This window comes from Homo sapiens, chromosome 4, assembly GCF_000001405.40.
Source record: "Homo sapiens chromosome 4, GRCh38.p14 Primary Assembly".
Lineage (NCBI taxonomy): Eukaryota > Metazoa > Chordata > Mammalia > Primates > Hominidae > Homo > Homo sapiens.
Window position 1 is genome coordinate 105918420 of NC_000004.12, and position 14288 is coordinate 105932707.

Below are 14288 nucleotides of genomic sequence, written 5' to 3' on the forward strand. Positions count from 1 at the left end.
AAAAAATGATAATTTTCAACTGAAAGAAATACTGTAATGTATTTCATCATATTCTATGAATTCTTACATTATGAAAGATATCTTTTATGTTTCAGATATCTATTATATTTCCTTTTTGAAAGAATTTTTTCTAGCACTACATCTTTTCCAAACCTTTTTGACTTTCCTAAGCCTGTGTAATTAATCACTGCCTGTTCTGTGTCCTTAACATGCATCTGTTATCAGGACATCTCTGCTTACTTCTGTTTCTCCTTACTAGACTTACCTGCTGGAGGATGAGAACTTGCTCTCCTATTCATTTTTATATCCCCAATTTTTAATATAGTGTCTTAGACACTGGGGCGTTTCCTCCTTGTCATACTTATAATCCTCATCATAATTAGCATTTTATTGAGCTCTTATTAATGAGATGGGTACTGTTCTAAGTACTTTATTTGGGTTTTCTCATTTAGTCCTCCAATAAACCTATGAGTAAGATCTCTAATGAATCTTGTGAGTTTACTGGTTTTTAAATAAAAAATGGCAATGAGAGCAGAGAGAAGCTAGGTAATCTGTATAGGTTGCACATTTCCCGAGTGGTAGAGCTGGGATCCCAGCAGTCTAACTGCAGCATCTATGCTTGTAAACCTTTCTCTAAATTACATTGAAAAGTTAACAACTACTCACAAGTTAAATAATAGTTGTCTGTGTATTCATGTTATTGTACTCCTTTTTATATATTTCTTCCATGTTTTGTATTAAAAAAATTTTAAATCCACAGAAGAGTTGAAGCAATAGGAACAGTAAATACCCATATATCCTTATTGTTAACGTTTTACACATTTTTTTTTCTCTCTTCCTTCCCGCCTCACCCTTCTCTCTTTCTCCCTCAACCATTTTTAAGTAACTTACAGACCTAATGACACTTCGTGCCTAAACACTTCAGCATTCATCTCCAGAGAGCAAGGACATTTACTTACAAACCACAGTATCATTTCACACTTAAAAAATTTAGTATTGATATAATAATGCTATGTAATAAACAATCCATATTTAGATTTCCCTAATTGTCCCAATAATGGTTTTTATGGATTTTTTCTTTTTGATCCAGATCCAATTAAGAATCAAACACTGCATTTAGTTGACATTCCTCTTTAATTTAATTGCTTTAAAACAATTCTACCACTTTTGTTTGTTTATTTGCTTCTCGACAATGATATTTTTGAAGAGTCCATATCAATTGCTTGGTAGAATCTACCACAGTTTAAATTTGTCTGTTGTTTCTGCATCATTAGATTAGAACTAAATTTATTTGTAAGAATATTATATATAGATGATCATCTGTTATGATATTCCTTGTGCACATATGTTGGTTTGTCCTACTATTGGTGATATTAAGTTTGATCACTTGATGAAGTGGTATCCATCAGATTTCTCTACTGAAAGGCACCTTTTTTTCTTTGTAATTAGTAAGTAACCTGTGGGGTAATACATTCACACTGTTTTGATACCCTGTTCCCCAACAAACTTTCACTTGGTGAAAGTTTTAACATCTATGGATAATCTTTCCTCAAATTAATTATTTCAATGATGATTGTAAAGTTCTGTTTTTCAAATTTCGCCGTTCCTTCTACATGTTAGTAGGCATTGTTCTTTAAAGAGGAGCTCAGTCTTCTTCCTATTTAGAATCACTTCGTAACCATAGATTCTTTTTTTATTCAATTGTTATCAATAACTACCGTTATTCTTCTTGATGCTCAAACAATCCCAAATCTAGTCAGTGGAACTCCTCCAAGCCAGCTTCTATTCTTTTCACATGTCTCTACCATTCTTTGAGTGCTTAATTGCTTTTTGCAACAGAAAACTTATTCTAGCCTCCCTCCCCTAGCCCTCATTCCTTTTATTATTTATTTTCTTTAGAAAACAAATTAGGGAATGAAATATTTAGAAACAAAGATCCAGGTGCTAGCTGTGGGCATTGCTACTGTTACTCTACTAAAAAAAAAAAAAAAAAAAAAAAACTTCACATTTCCAAATAAATAGTAACACTTTTTAATGTGTTCTTAACGTTTTATTTGGCATTAATCTAAATTCCCCTCTAGCACAATGAAAACAGAAAGAGAAAGTTAAAATTTCAAGTAAACTGAAAACAACAATAGTGCTCAGAGGATTTTTTTTTAAGTGAAAAGGGATAGTGCTTAATTATGACAAATAAAAGCTAACTTGAGATGCACATATACAGATGCAGCCACTTATTTTGGCGGGGGACACTTCAGGAATTAAAATTTAAATAGCGAGAGATCAAATAGATACTTGGTAAATGTGTCTGAATTGGATGTTCCCAGACACAAAAATAAAATGAGTTATTGACAGCTCTTGGGAGACAACATTATAAAGACTAGACACGTTATTTATTTTAACTCTATGTTCTAAATTACCATTGAGTAATTGACATTCGTATTTGACTATGGTTTGTGGTTAAGTTCTTAATTGCAATAATGTTAAATAAAATGTGAAGCCCAAAGCAAACAACAACAAAAATTATAGCAATACTTCAACAGAGGTAATAATAATATGCTGCATCAATGGTTCAGAATCCAGCATCTACATAAAACAAGCAACAGGGTAATGAAATTATTTTCTTTTCAAATATTCTGGCAGAGCTACTTTAGTTTTCTTAAGTTATAGATTGTGGTCTTAACTGCAACTTTTCGCTCCTTTTAAGAAGTATTTAAGTTATTTAAATGTTACTTAAATACTTTTATGTTTTTAATCATTATTAACATTCTCTACCCCTCTCATCCTTTCCTGCTTAGTATTTTGTTATAATCTCACTCTCCCCACTTCCAAATGCACTCAAAAATGCTGGACTTTCTGGTCTTTTTCTGACCACCAGAAGAAGTAGTGGATTGAGCATGGAACTGGGATAAGACATTTTTCCTGAAATTGGTCAAGTCACTTAATCTTTTGCATTTTTACTTGTTTACTTGTAAAATGAAGATAGTGTCTGCCTCTCTCCTGCCTTATATGGATATCATGAGGATAAATTCAGTCAGTCATATGAAATGGTTTTGAGTTCTGTATTCATGAGGGCATTTAATGTGTCTTATAGTGATAACAATCAGAGGCATTATTATTCAGTTTTTACTGCAGCAGGAGTTTAGATTTGACCATCAGATAATTGACACTATAGTACAGGGTATTAGGAAAGCTGGAAAGATGCTTTCCCCTGGAGATCTTGGACAGTAGGATTCTTCTAGGTTTTGTTCTGCTCATGATATGCAATGGCTCAGGGCACTTTTCAGAGGACCACTGTACAATCTCCCTCCATTCCACCCAGGTCCTATTAATATAGTAGTGAGTTGTTTCATATTGCCTTCAGTGACTTTCCCTTTTCCAAGGCCAATTACCATTTGAAAAAGTCATTCCCTGTCATATTTTCTTGTTCTGCTCAAATGAATTTGTCCATATCTGAATTCTGTGAAGCTTGTTGGGTGTAAAAACAGCTTTTCAAAGTCTTCCAGTTTCATATCTATTTGTTCTTCTGCCCTACCCTTGCATGTTTCTCTGTCCCCTTTTCTTCTGTGAGCATAACCTGGAGGACAAGGTTTTTTGTTCTGCTTTTAGTGGTGCCATGTCTGCATAATAACATGATGTAGATTGAAAAAATTACAAATGATTCTTGGAATTCTAAAGATAATCTTATTTCTATTGAGAAAATCCTTCTCAAGTTACTAACTACCATTGAGATTGGATTGGCTTTTGCCTTATTACTTTTCAGAGCCTCCATCTGCTTGGGTATCTCAACATATCCTTAGTTTTCAAATGTTGGCACTTTACTCCCAGCATGATTACCTTACATAAGAAACATTATAGGACTGATGTGGGAGTTTACTTTTCTCATAACTTATTTGATAATTCACTGCTTATGTTAGAGTTAGAAACTATTGTCCAACTCTCAGAGACCCAGTTACATCACTTAAGATGGATATTTTTTTTTTTTTTTTGAGATCAAGTCTCACTCTGTCGCCCAAGCTGGAGTGCAGTGGCGCAGTCTCAGCTCACTGCAACCTCTGCCTCCCAGGTTGAAATGATTCTGCCTCAGCCTCCCAAGTAGCTGGGATTACAGGTGCCCACCACCACACCTGGCTAGTTTTTTTGTAGAGATAGGGTTTTACCATGTTGGCCAGGCTGGTCACAAACTCCTAGGATGGATTTTTAAGACTAAAATTTTAGATTGCAATCAAACAGAAGAGGCTTGGACATGTGACATTAAAGAGCTATGTTTGTTTTGCCAGTTGAAACTTGTTTCTTTTTCTAGTTAAAACAATGATTTAGAGGTTATTTTGAGGGCACTTTGAAGATTATGCTACAGGAATGCTAGAGAGCAAATTTTGAGAGTGATTGCCCATTTGGACTTAATTCTGGCAACTGATTTTGGGGTAAAATGTCTATCATTCGTTGATTATCTGTGATTTTTACCTGGACTTTACTTAAGCTTTATTAAGTTGCTAAACCATATTTGGATGCTAGTGATAGCAGACCATCAAATACGGCCCAAACTTCTTGTTCTGATCCACACGAAGGTCAGAGAAGCAATGCTGCCTTTTCTGATAGCCAGTAGCACCAGCAGGCACGTTGTTTACTCCAAACAAGAATTTTAATATTTTTGAAGACCACTGAAAATGGATCATTTATACTTTTTTATTTTTTTGATAAGGAAGGGATGACCTACTATTCACAGAGTAATGCAGTTTGCTGAAAAGGTTGGTTTTTGCTGACCTCTGAGAGCTCACATTACAGTGGAGTGTGTTATTGGAAGGTGAGCCAGTTTATACAGAGGTTGGGAATTATTTTTCTCTAGTTTTGAAATGGTTATGCACTTTCTAATCTAGTTATTTAGATGTAGAAATAAAGTTTTTTTTTTACATTCCCCTGAGTATATGGTATTGTAGGTATAAAATAAATTTGATGAGTTTTATTTCTGTACTAGGATCTACTCATAACTCTTCTATCCTAAATTTGTATCAAAAGGAAACCTTTGCTGTCTTGATAATAAACACAGACTAAGTCCAGATTCCACAGTCTAGTGATCAAGGAAATTCAGGAATTGTATTTAGCTACAAGTAACGTGACACAAAGAACAGTGCCCTAAATTGCTAGGATGGTGATTTAGGGTTAATATTATGACTTCTTGCTCTACCCTCTTTCCATTCTCAAGATCGCCTCATGGTCATAAAGAGGCCACTGTGGTTGAGTCATGACATGCACGTTCTAGGCGAGAACACAGAACAAGCCGTGCTCTTCAGCCCCCTTCTTACACAGCATTCCAAAGCCCCACCCCATCACTTCTGCTTTCATCCCATTTAGCCAGAACTTAGTCATTTGGCTGCCCATATCTGCTAAGGAGAATAGGGAACATAGTTTTCCATTACTAACCCATCCCCCACTCAAAAAAATAAAAATTTTAAAAGCCATTCTATATTAAAGCAGAAGGGAAAGAGATATTGGTAAGAATCCAGCTGGCCTTTTGTGATCTGTGTCAGCCTTTCTTTTGATCTCATCTGCTGTTTTAAGCACTTTACACTGTAGCCCCACGAGAACACTTTGCACTCACTAAGAAGCAGTCCCCTTTGCTGCGCCCCCCCCCCACCACTTTGCTTATATTCTGAAAGTCTTTTGTTTCCTATTCCACTGCTCTTACCTCTAACACACTGCCTCTAACACACCAACCTGCAGTTGTAGTTATTACACACCCTCCTTGGTTCTTTCATCTCTCTATCACAGCCCTTGTTGTGGTTTAGCCAATATATTTTAGTTCCACAGCTAAATTTTCATACCCTCTATGACTCTCTAATCCCCTGCCACACTTGCCTACTATAATACATTATATATATAACAAATGTTTGATACGTATTTATTGAATTCCATTCCAGAACTAATGCCAGCAAGATAACTTTGTGCTATATAGGAGAATATCTTTTTGTGCAACAGTTTCCAAAGGGTTTTCTTTTTCTAAGAAGAAAGAAATTGATTGTATCAACTTTATGAGTATCCTACCGCATTTAATAGCCATTGGCTAATCTAAGGGTTCCTGGTTACTTCACTGAATAGCCTATCAGATGGGAGTGCAAACAACAGTTTGTTTTGAAATAGGACTCCCTAAACATGGAAGAAACATTAACAGTGTTGGCCTGTTGGAATGTGTGCATTTGATGTGCTCAAGATTAGGGCACTCTGCTTGAGAACAAATAACAAAAAAGGGAGAGGAAACAATAAAAACTTTGGTCCTATAAAGCACCTGAAAGTACTATAAATTGATGGTTCTCAAGCTGGTCAGGGGGTCCAAAGGCTACAGCCTGGGGGCCTCAAGTTTAATTGTTTTATAAAGTGTCCTAAATAAATTTTTTATGTTTTTAAGTGGTATTTTTAAAACTACTTTTTCATGCTTTGAGAGAGTTTTCCAAATTCCAATTATTTTAAGGGGTTATTTCCTGGACTTGCACTTAACGATTTTGAGATGTTTACATTTTTTTCAATATGGCATTCTGTGTGCCTCAGTGATACATGGTTATCCAGGTTGCATGCATATATAAATGTTAAGATTTATGGAAGGTCATCTTTTTAGATTAAAAAGAATTTTTTTAAGCTGGTATTTCTTGGTGATAGGGCCTAGAAATTATGTAGAGTGGCTTACTTCTGGAACTTATTTTAAACTGCATATAAACCATCCGCCTAGTGTACAGTTGGCTAAAGAGTAATATTAGAAGGCCCTCCTGGACAGTTTATTTCATTTCATGGATATGAACACAATTGTTTCCCTTTGAATTTAATGCCATGTTTAAAATCAGATTTTAAGAATTTTCCAAGGGCATTTCCCTATCATTTACACTCTGCTTGTGTTTTCTTTCTGTAGTCTTTTACATTAAATACCTCCTACAGAGCACTGCCTAAGGATTTGTGGTGGTACAGGGTCCAGTTGGGATGACAAACAGGCAAGGAAGGCCTGGAAGTAAAATTAGCAAAGAGGCCCTGTGGAATGGAAGGTGAGGGAAGGGTTAGTGACAGTTGGGGGAGGAAAGGTAGAAAAAAAAATAACATGCACATCAGTTTCGCAGGAGTATTAGAGTCTTAAAGGAAACAATGTTTGATAATTATCAGAGAGGAAACTGGGAGCATAGAGCATATCCCAGAATGGAGAACAGCATGGGTTAAAATGGGTAGGAACAGGTGTCAGGAGCTTCAAAATTCGGGATCATTGTTGAGTCCATTCCCCTTGGTCTTCAAGGACTGTCTGCTCTTCACTCAATGATTATTGAAGCTCATTTCTTCCTGTCACCAACACAAATCATACCTTCTTCACGTCAGACCTAAACTATTTCGCTGGCCTTGCAACTGTTCTCTCTGCCTCTAAACTCTTTCCAGTCCATCCTACATACCATCACCAGAGCTTTGATAAGATTCCCAGAGCTTTGATTTTTATCAGGCAGTTATGATGATAAATGTATGGAAACTTCCCATTTCCTAGAGCTAAAGTGCATGTTTCTCATTCTGAAATGTAGGGAACATAATCATCTGATACCACTCACCTGATTGTTTCTCACTCTTCCTCCACCATTTACCCATCTCTTTAGCTTAATGAGTCCCCTGTGTATCTCCCAACTAAACAGCGGCTTACTTGCCTGTGAAATATTCTTCTCTTGGGTAGTCTGCTCCCTTCTCTGTCTACTCATGCTTCAAGATTCAACATAAGCCTCCTCTATGAGGCTTTCTGCACGTATGTATATGGATTTGCTTGTGTAATGATTTCTTCACAGATTTCATATTGCTGATAAATAAATATTGTTTTGAATAAGAAACGTGGTTTTGTATTTTTATCTCAATTGTAGACTCCTTGAGACCAGTACCATGCTATACAATTATTTTTCATCTATTATAGTGTCTGGCATAGGGACATGCACATATTTGGTACAGAACAAGGTTTCCGAGTCTGGCACGATGACATTTTGGGCTGGATAATTTGTTGTGGCGGGTTGTCTGAACATTTTAGGATGTTTAGCAGCATCCTTGGCGCCTATCCACTAGATACCAGTAGTATCCTCTCCCTAGTGTGACAACCAAAAATGTCTCCAGACATTTCCAAATTTCCACAGGGGTAAAAAGTGCCCCCCAGTTGAGAATCACTGATAGAGAATAAACGGAATAAATTCCAATTAAACAGTGAAAATATTTGAGTGATGATTTACAGAATTTTAAAGTCTTGAGAAAGTGGAACTCAGTTGATGGAAAAGAGTGAATGTCAAACTGAGAACGTCCTATTTGCTATGTTAGGGCATAGAAAGGCCATTATAGATTGAAAAGCAGTTGTAATGAATCTTAGGGTTAAGAAAGATCAAGATACAGAAATATCCTTGAATTGAAGTTCCAAAACAATGTTGTTTTGGTTTTTGTTTCATTTTGAATCCTTTCATACTTAGGAATACCATTTCTAGTAAAATAAATATTTTATGTTTAGTTAGAAATTTATCTGTATTTCATACATACTTAGTACTTTTGGACTAAGAACTGCTATTTGAAGTATATTTGAGGGAATGAGTTTGAAATTTTGGGTGCAGGACATTATAAAGTTGTAACTATGAATAAATATCAGTTATGCTTATGCATAGTTTTACCTAGTTTTATTTGTCTATTTGAGTATTGTCCTTGAATTTAAAATTTTTTTCAGCCCCAACTGATACACACACATATACATACATAACACATGTGTGTGTGTGTAGCTTACAGAGTGTTTATAGGAAACTGATTTTGTATACTTTGGCTACTTTGTTGTAAGTTCTAGTTTTTTTTCTTTTATTATTAAACTAGTGCACGACATCAATGCTATATGATTGGTGTTTCGTTGACCTAGAAATAATGCATGCCATCTTCTTTTCACAGCTGTGTGCCAACCACGATGCAAACATGGTGAATGTATCGGGCCAAACAAGTGCAAGTGTCATCCTGGTTATGCTGGAAAAACCTGTAATCAAGGTAGGAAAACAGTCTGACATAAATACACAATCGAAGACACCTCTATCACTCCCAAATTAAAAATATTCTTATCTCAAACTACTTTCCATGGCTATTTTTCCAAAATATGTGAGCTGCCATTTTGCTGATAAATAAAAATATATTAATGATAAATATTGTAAAATTTCTTTTATCAAAGGACAATTAAACAAATTGTATCCTCTTATTCTCTGATACTAATTAAAATGTATTTTGAAGAAAAGAATCCCTGCATCAGTAATTTAGAAGCCTTCTGGTACTCCTTGTTTTTCCACTAACTAGTTGGAAATCCTTGGCCAAATAATTAACCACCTCAGACCCCAGGTACTGCTTCCCTTTAATGCCAAAGTCAAGTAGGGGATTTGATTTGAAATTTGGAGTTTCCTCCTAACTCTGAGCCCTTCGATTCGTGATTAAATCTCCCTTCAACTACTGACCAGTTTGGAATGTTTCCATGATAAATAAAAATGATTAATTTAGCAAGCACTTTTTAAAAAAATCAGCATCAGTTGTTTAAAGCAAATATTTATTCAACACTCATAGTGCCCCAGGTATTTTATATATATAATCCATTTTTATCTTTACAACAACATTAGGAAGTAGAGCATTATTTATTATAATTAAGGTATAATCTATTAATTATTAGTCCATTTTTTATTTGGAGAGACAGAGGCATAGGAATATTAAGTGTCTTGCTCAGGTTCACAGAGTTAGTAAAAGAGCTAGCATGTCAACTTAGAGCTATGGCATATATAATCCATATTTTTTCTACTATACTAGTTTTGGATAAAAAAATATATTTGGAAATGTGATCCTCGAACTCATGCTACAAAGTCAGACAAGGCTTGTCTTGTTAATTAAATTCAGTTAAAAATTTCCATTATTGGCCTGGCGTGGTGGCTCACACCTGTAATCCCAGCACTTTGGGAAGCTGAGGCGAGTGGATCACCTGAGGTTGGGAGTTCAAGACCAGCCTGACCAACATGGAGAAACCCCATCTCTACTAAAAATACGAAATTAGCTGCGTGTGGTGGCTCATGCTTGTAATCCCAGCTACTCAAGAAGCTGAGGCAGGAGAATCACTTGAACCCAGGAGGCGGATGTTGCGGTGAGCCAAGATTGCACCATTGCACTCCAGCCTAGGCAACAAGAGCGAAACTCTGTCTCAAAAAAAAAAAAAAAAAGAAAAAAAAATCATTATTAGGAATTAAACTAAAGAAAGATTAGGGTTAGATTTCACTAAATAGATAAGTGTCAAAAATAAAAAAGATAAGTCAATTTTTACTTATTTTTTAAATTATACTCCCTATCATCTTAAATGTCAGGTGAAATAATCATATGGTGTCTAACTATCCCTTACATACTTACTTGACCTCATCTGATATAGAAATGATATTGCTGAAATACTACTGTTCTTCAGTGTCTGATACTTATTCCAAGATACTCCTTGAGGTATGTCATGTAAACTAATGATTTATAGACACAGTTTTTTTTCACTATTTATTTTTATTTTTTTAATTTTACTTTAAGTTCTGGGATACATGTGGAAAACATGAAGCTTTGTTACAAAGGTATACATGTGCCTTGGTGATTTGCTGCACCTATCAAACCATCATCTAGGTTTCAAGCCCTGCATGCATTAGGTATTTGTCCTAATGCTCTCCCTCCCCTTACCCCTAACCCCCAACAGTTCCCCTCCCTGTGTCCGTGTGTTCTCATTGTTCAACTCCCACTTATGAATGAAAACATGCAGTGTTTAGTTTTCTGTTCCTGTGTTAAGACACCGTTTTTACAATCATCCAGAACATTGATTTTTGAAAACATACTCAAAATGGTGGTTCATGAACCATCAGATGAAATTATTCATGAACCATCAGATGAAATCCACACTAGCAAAAATGACATGTCCCAATGGTAGAAGCTGCTATTCTAAAGTGTGTTCTTGTATTATCTGCTATTTGATTTAGAACTGATTTTCCCAATGCTTGTTTTCTCTCTAATACTCTTTTTAACTTGAAATTTACCAAACATACCTGCATAATCTTTTTAAATAAGTGATGCTCTTATTATCTCAGTTTGCTCCTTAAAAAACTCCACTTGATTTTTCTTCCCCAGCATAAGTTTGCAGGTAGCAGTGTTCTGGTTATTGGATGCCAATGTTCATCTTAGAATCTCAGTATACTTTTTTTAAAGTGGTGAACATAAGCCCTCAGAGGTTTCATTAATATATCAGCACGGTAAAATATTGTTGTCCAAATGTGAGGATATAAAATATAAAGAAGACGATTAAAATAAGTCACTTTTGAGATTGCAGAGAAATTCATTTAAATTTCTTTGCAGAAGCTGCATCAACTTTAACATGCTTTAAAGACATGCTAAAAGTATTATTGAAACAAAAGTTCATCACTGGGTAGCTCCTATTTTCAGAAAACCAGTTTAACATGTACTTTTTTTTCCTGTAACACATACCTATTTCTCTAAAGAAAAAATCGAATGTATCAAGTTAAGATCTTGCTCCCCAAAACCATATTCCTTAAAGAGAAGAGGATTTGATTAGTAGCAAAATGGGATTTTACACCTGCAAAAATAGTGCTGACACTGAAAATGTAATTTCAAGTCCAGTTTTGAAAATAAAACTACAGCTTAAAATAAACTTAGGTGTTTTAATCATCTCTTATTTTGCCCTCCTCACAAAAAAGCAGTGTGGCAGGTTCCTGATGGCAAGGTTTATGCTCCTTGAGAGCAGAAATCCTTTTTGTTGTCTCTCTGATTTCTAAGTTCCTGAAAACTATTATTAAAGTGACTTGCACATGGTAAATGCACACTAAATATGTTAAATAAATGACAGTTTCATCTAATGGTTCTTAGTCCTGAACACTGTGGAAGCTTGAAAGGGTTCCACCAGTTCTTGGTACAGCATCTTAGAGAGTCTCTGCATCCATAGACTTGAGGGCCCTGTCAGGATCAGGGAAGCTGCCATGTGTGGCCTGGTTGAGTGTGAGAGCTGCCTAGAGACTTCCATAAAAGTTGTTAGAGAAAATTGTTGATAGTGCCTACATAGCAGATTAACTTAAACTGTTTTCATTCAGGCCCACACATTTTAATAAAGTAGAAAATATGCTTCACAGATAAGGGAAATCAAACAGGCTCCTTTTTTCTGGAGGAGAGAAATGTCAAAAAGAATTAAATTTGAAATAACTTTACAGAACTGGAAATTAGCTTTTGATTAAAAGTAGCTTTTGGTATATGACAAGTATTCACTGAGAATTTTGTAGCGAGTTATATACTTTAAGAAATAACCCCCAGAAACTTGCATCATGGTGTAAACAGCTTGAATAAACAAGTGCTTAACCAGTGCCTTTAGAGCTGCCTGGGAAACAGCCAGAATACCAGGGCAAGCTGCATTTTGGAACTGGTTTAATTTAGTAGCCTTGCCACAGGCTTAGTGTGATCTGCTTTTGGTGGCTTGATCTTCCCCACTAAGTCATTTTCTGGATTTGTTACACCTAGAACTGTTAGGAAATTACAGGCTTGGGCTGATCATTAACATACTGTACTCTACAAGGCACACGTTACCTTTCAAAGCAGATGAAATTCTAACCTGAATTCTGGCAAGATTCTTTGATCATTTGCTTCCTTTACTTTTACTTTTATTTATGCATATTTCCCTCCTCCTTGAGTTTCTGTACCAACACAAACCTCTTTTTCCCCCAGCCAGAAAAAAAATATTATTATAGATAATAATCTTTTTATAACTTTTCCATTGGGGAATGATTTTTAGTATGTAAATATATCACTGCATATTCTCAGAAATGAAAGACATTCTTAGGAATTTACAGTGTACTTTATAATAATTTCAGAAGAAAATATTTATAAATGTCAATTCCTAATGTTTTAGCATGGTTTATGTTTCATATGTTGAATTCTTTATCATAAGGAAAGAATTGGAGTCTTTTAGGTCAGAACCAGATACTAATTTTGTGGACTAGTTACATCTGAAAGTTGACTGCTTTGCTAAGCACAAAAATCTAAGGGCTTTAACTCTAATATTAAGGTGGTTACCTACAGCCGTAGGTTTTGAAAGATGTATGGTTCCAGCCGGGCGCCGTGGCTCTACCCTGTAATCCCAGCACTTTGGAAGGCCGAGGCGGGCGGATCACGAGGTCAGGATATCGAGACCATCCTGGCTAACACGGTGAAACCCCATCTCTACTAAAAATACAAAAAAAAAAAAAAAAAAAAAATTAGCCAGGCATGGTGGCAGGTGCCTGTAGTTCCAGCTACTCGGGAGGCTGTGGCAGGAGAATGGTGTGAACGTGGGAGGCGGAGCTTGCAGTGAGCCAAGATCGAGCGGCTGCACTCCAGCCTGGGCAACAGAGCAAGACTCCATCTAAAAAAAAAGGAAGTTGTATGCTTTCAACTCCCAAAACCAATGTTCATTTGATTTGGACATTTAACTGGCTATTAATAACATAATGGTGTTGAAACAGAACGTGATTGTTAAGTCTCAACTCTCTTCTTTGAGTCTCACCCATCTTATATTTTGGTAAGCTAATAATGGCAACAGTTAACATTTTTTTGCATAAAGCTTCTCATGTATGTTCCAGAAGCATAATTTCTTACATTTAAATGATAATATTGACGATCTATTATGCTGTTATTTAAATAAAATCTTTATGTAAATCATACATTTGTGCATAATTTTGGAGTATTTTAAACTACTATTGTACAACGTGATAGTGTAGGGAAAAAAATCTTAAGTTGGTCGTTTACAACTTCAGTGTCCTTAAATAGAGCAGGTGGATTATAATCAATATTTGTATAATTTGTTTTTTGTTTTCTTCCTTCTGTGTATGACTAAATAATACTTTTAAAAATGATGATCTCTTGTTTGGAATTTTTTAAAAAATTGTATGACGATGGATTGTTCATTTATAATGTGTGTGTTGTCCTTGGGAAACAAGATGACAGTGATACATTTTTAAGAAAATTAAAGGAAAAGAGAAACCAGAAGAACCAGAAACTATTGTTTATAAAGTATCTAATGCATTCTTTTTAAACTCTACCAACTGTATGTAATTGTTTAATATATACTTGCAAAGATTTTTAGGGCTAAAATTGACATCAGTTCAAAGTTGACTCTTATTACCTTCTTCCTGGTGTGAAGACGAGCACATCCCAGCTCCTCTTGACCAAGGCAGTGAACAGCCTCTTTTCCAACCCCTGGATCACCAAGCCACAAGTTTGCCTTCAAGGGGTGA

General features: G+C 35.5%; 1 protein-coding gene across 18 annotated transcripts in view; it reads left to right on the forward strand.

Moving 5' to 3' along the window:
* Positions 1 to 14288, forward strand: part of NPNT (nephronectin) — a 76201-nt gene that overhangs the window by 22949 nt on the left and 38964 nt on the right. For 11 of the 18 annotated variants that reach the window (XM_011531824.3, XM_047449983.1, XM_011531825.3 and 8 more), the window contains one exon: positions 8917 to 9009. In XM_011531824.3, coding sequence (XP_011530126.1) covers positions 8917 to 9009 — 93 coding nt within the window. Of the gene's footprint in view, positions 1 to 8916; positions 9010 to 14194; positions 14285 to 14288 lie in introns of all 18 variants that reach the window. The other 7 variants (XM_011531820.3, XM_017007984.2, XM_011531823.3 and 4 more) reach the window with 1 other exon arrangement.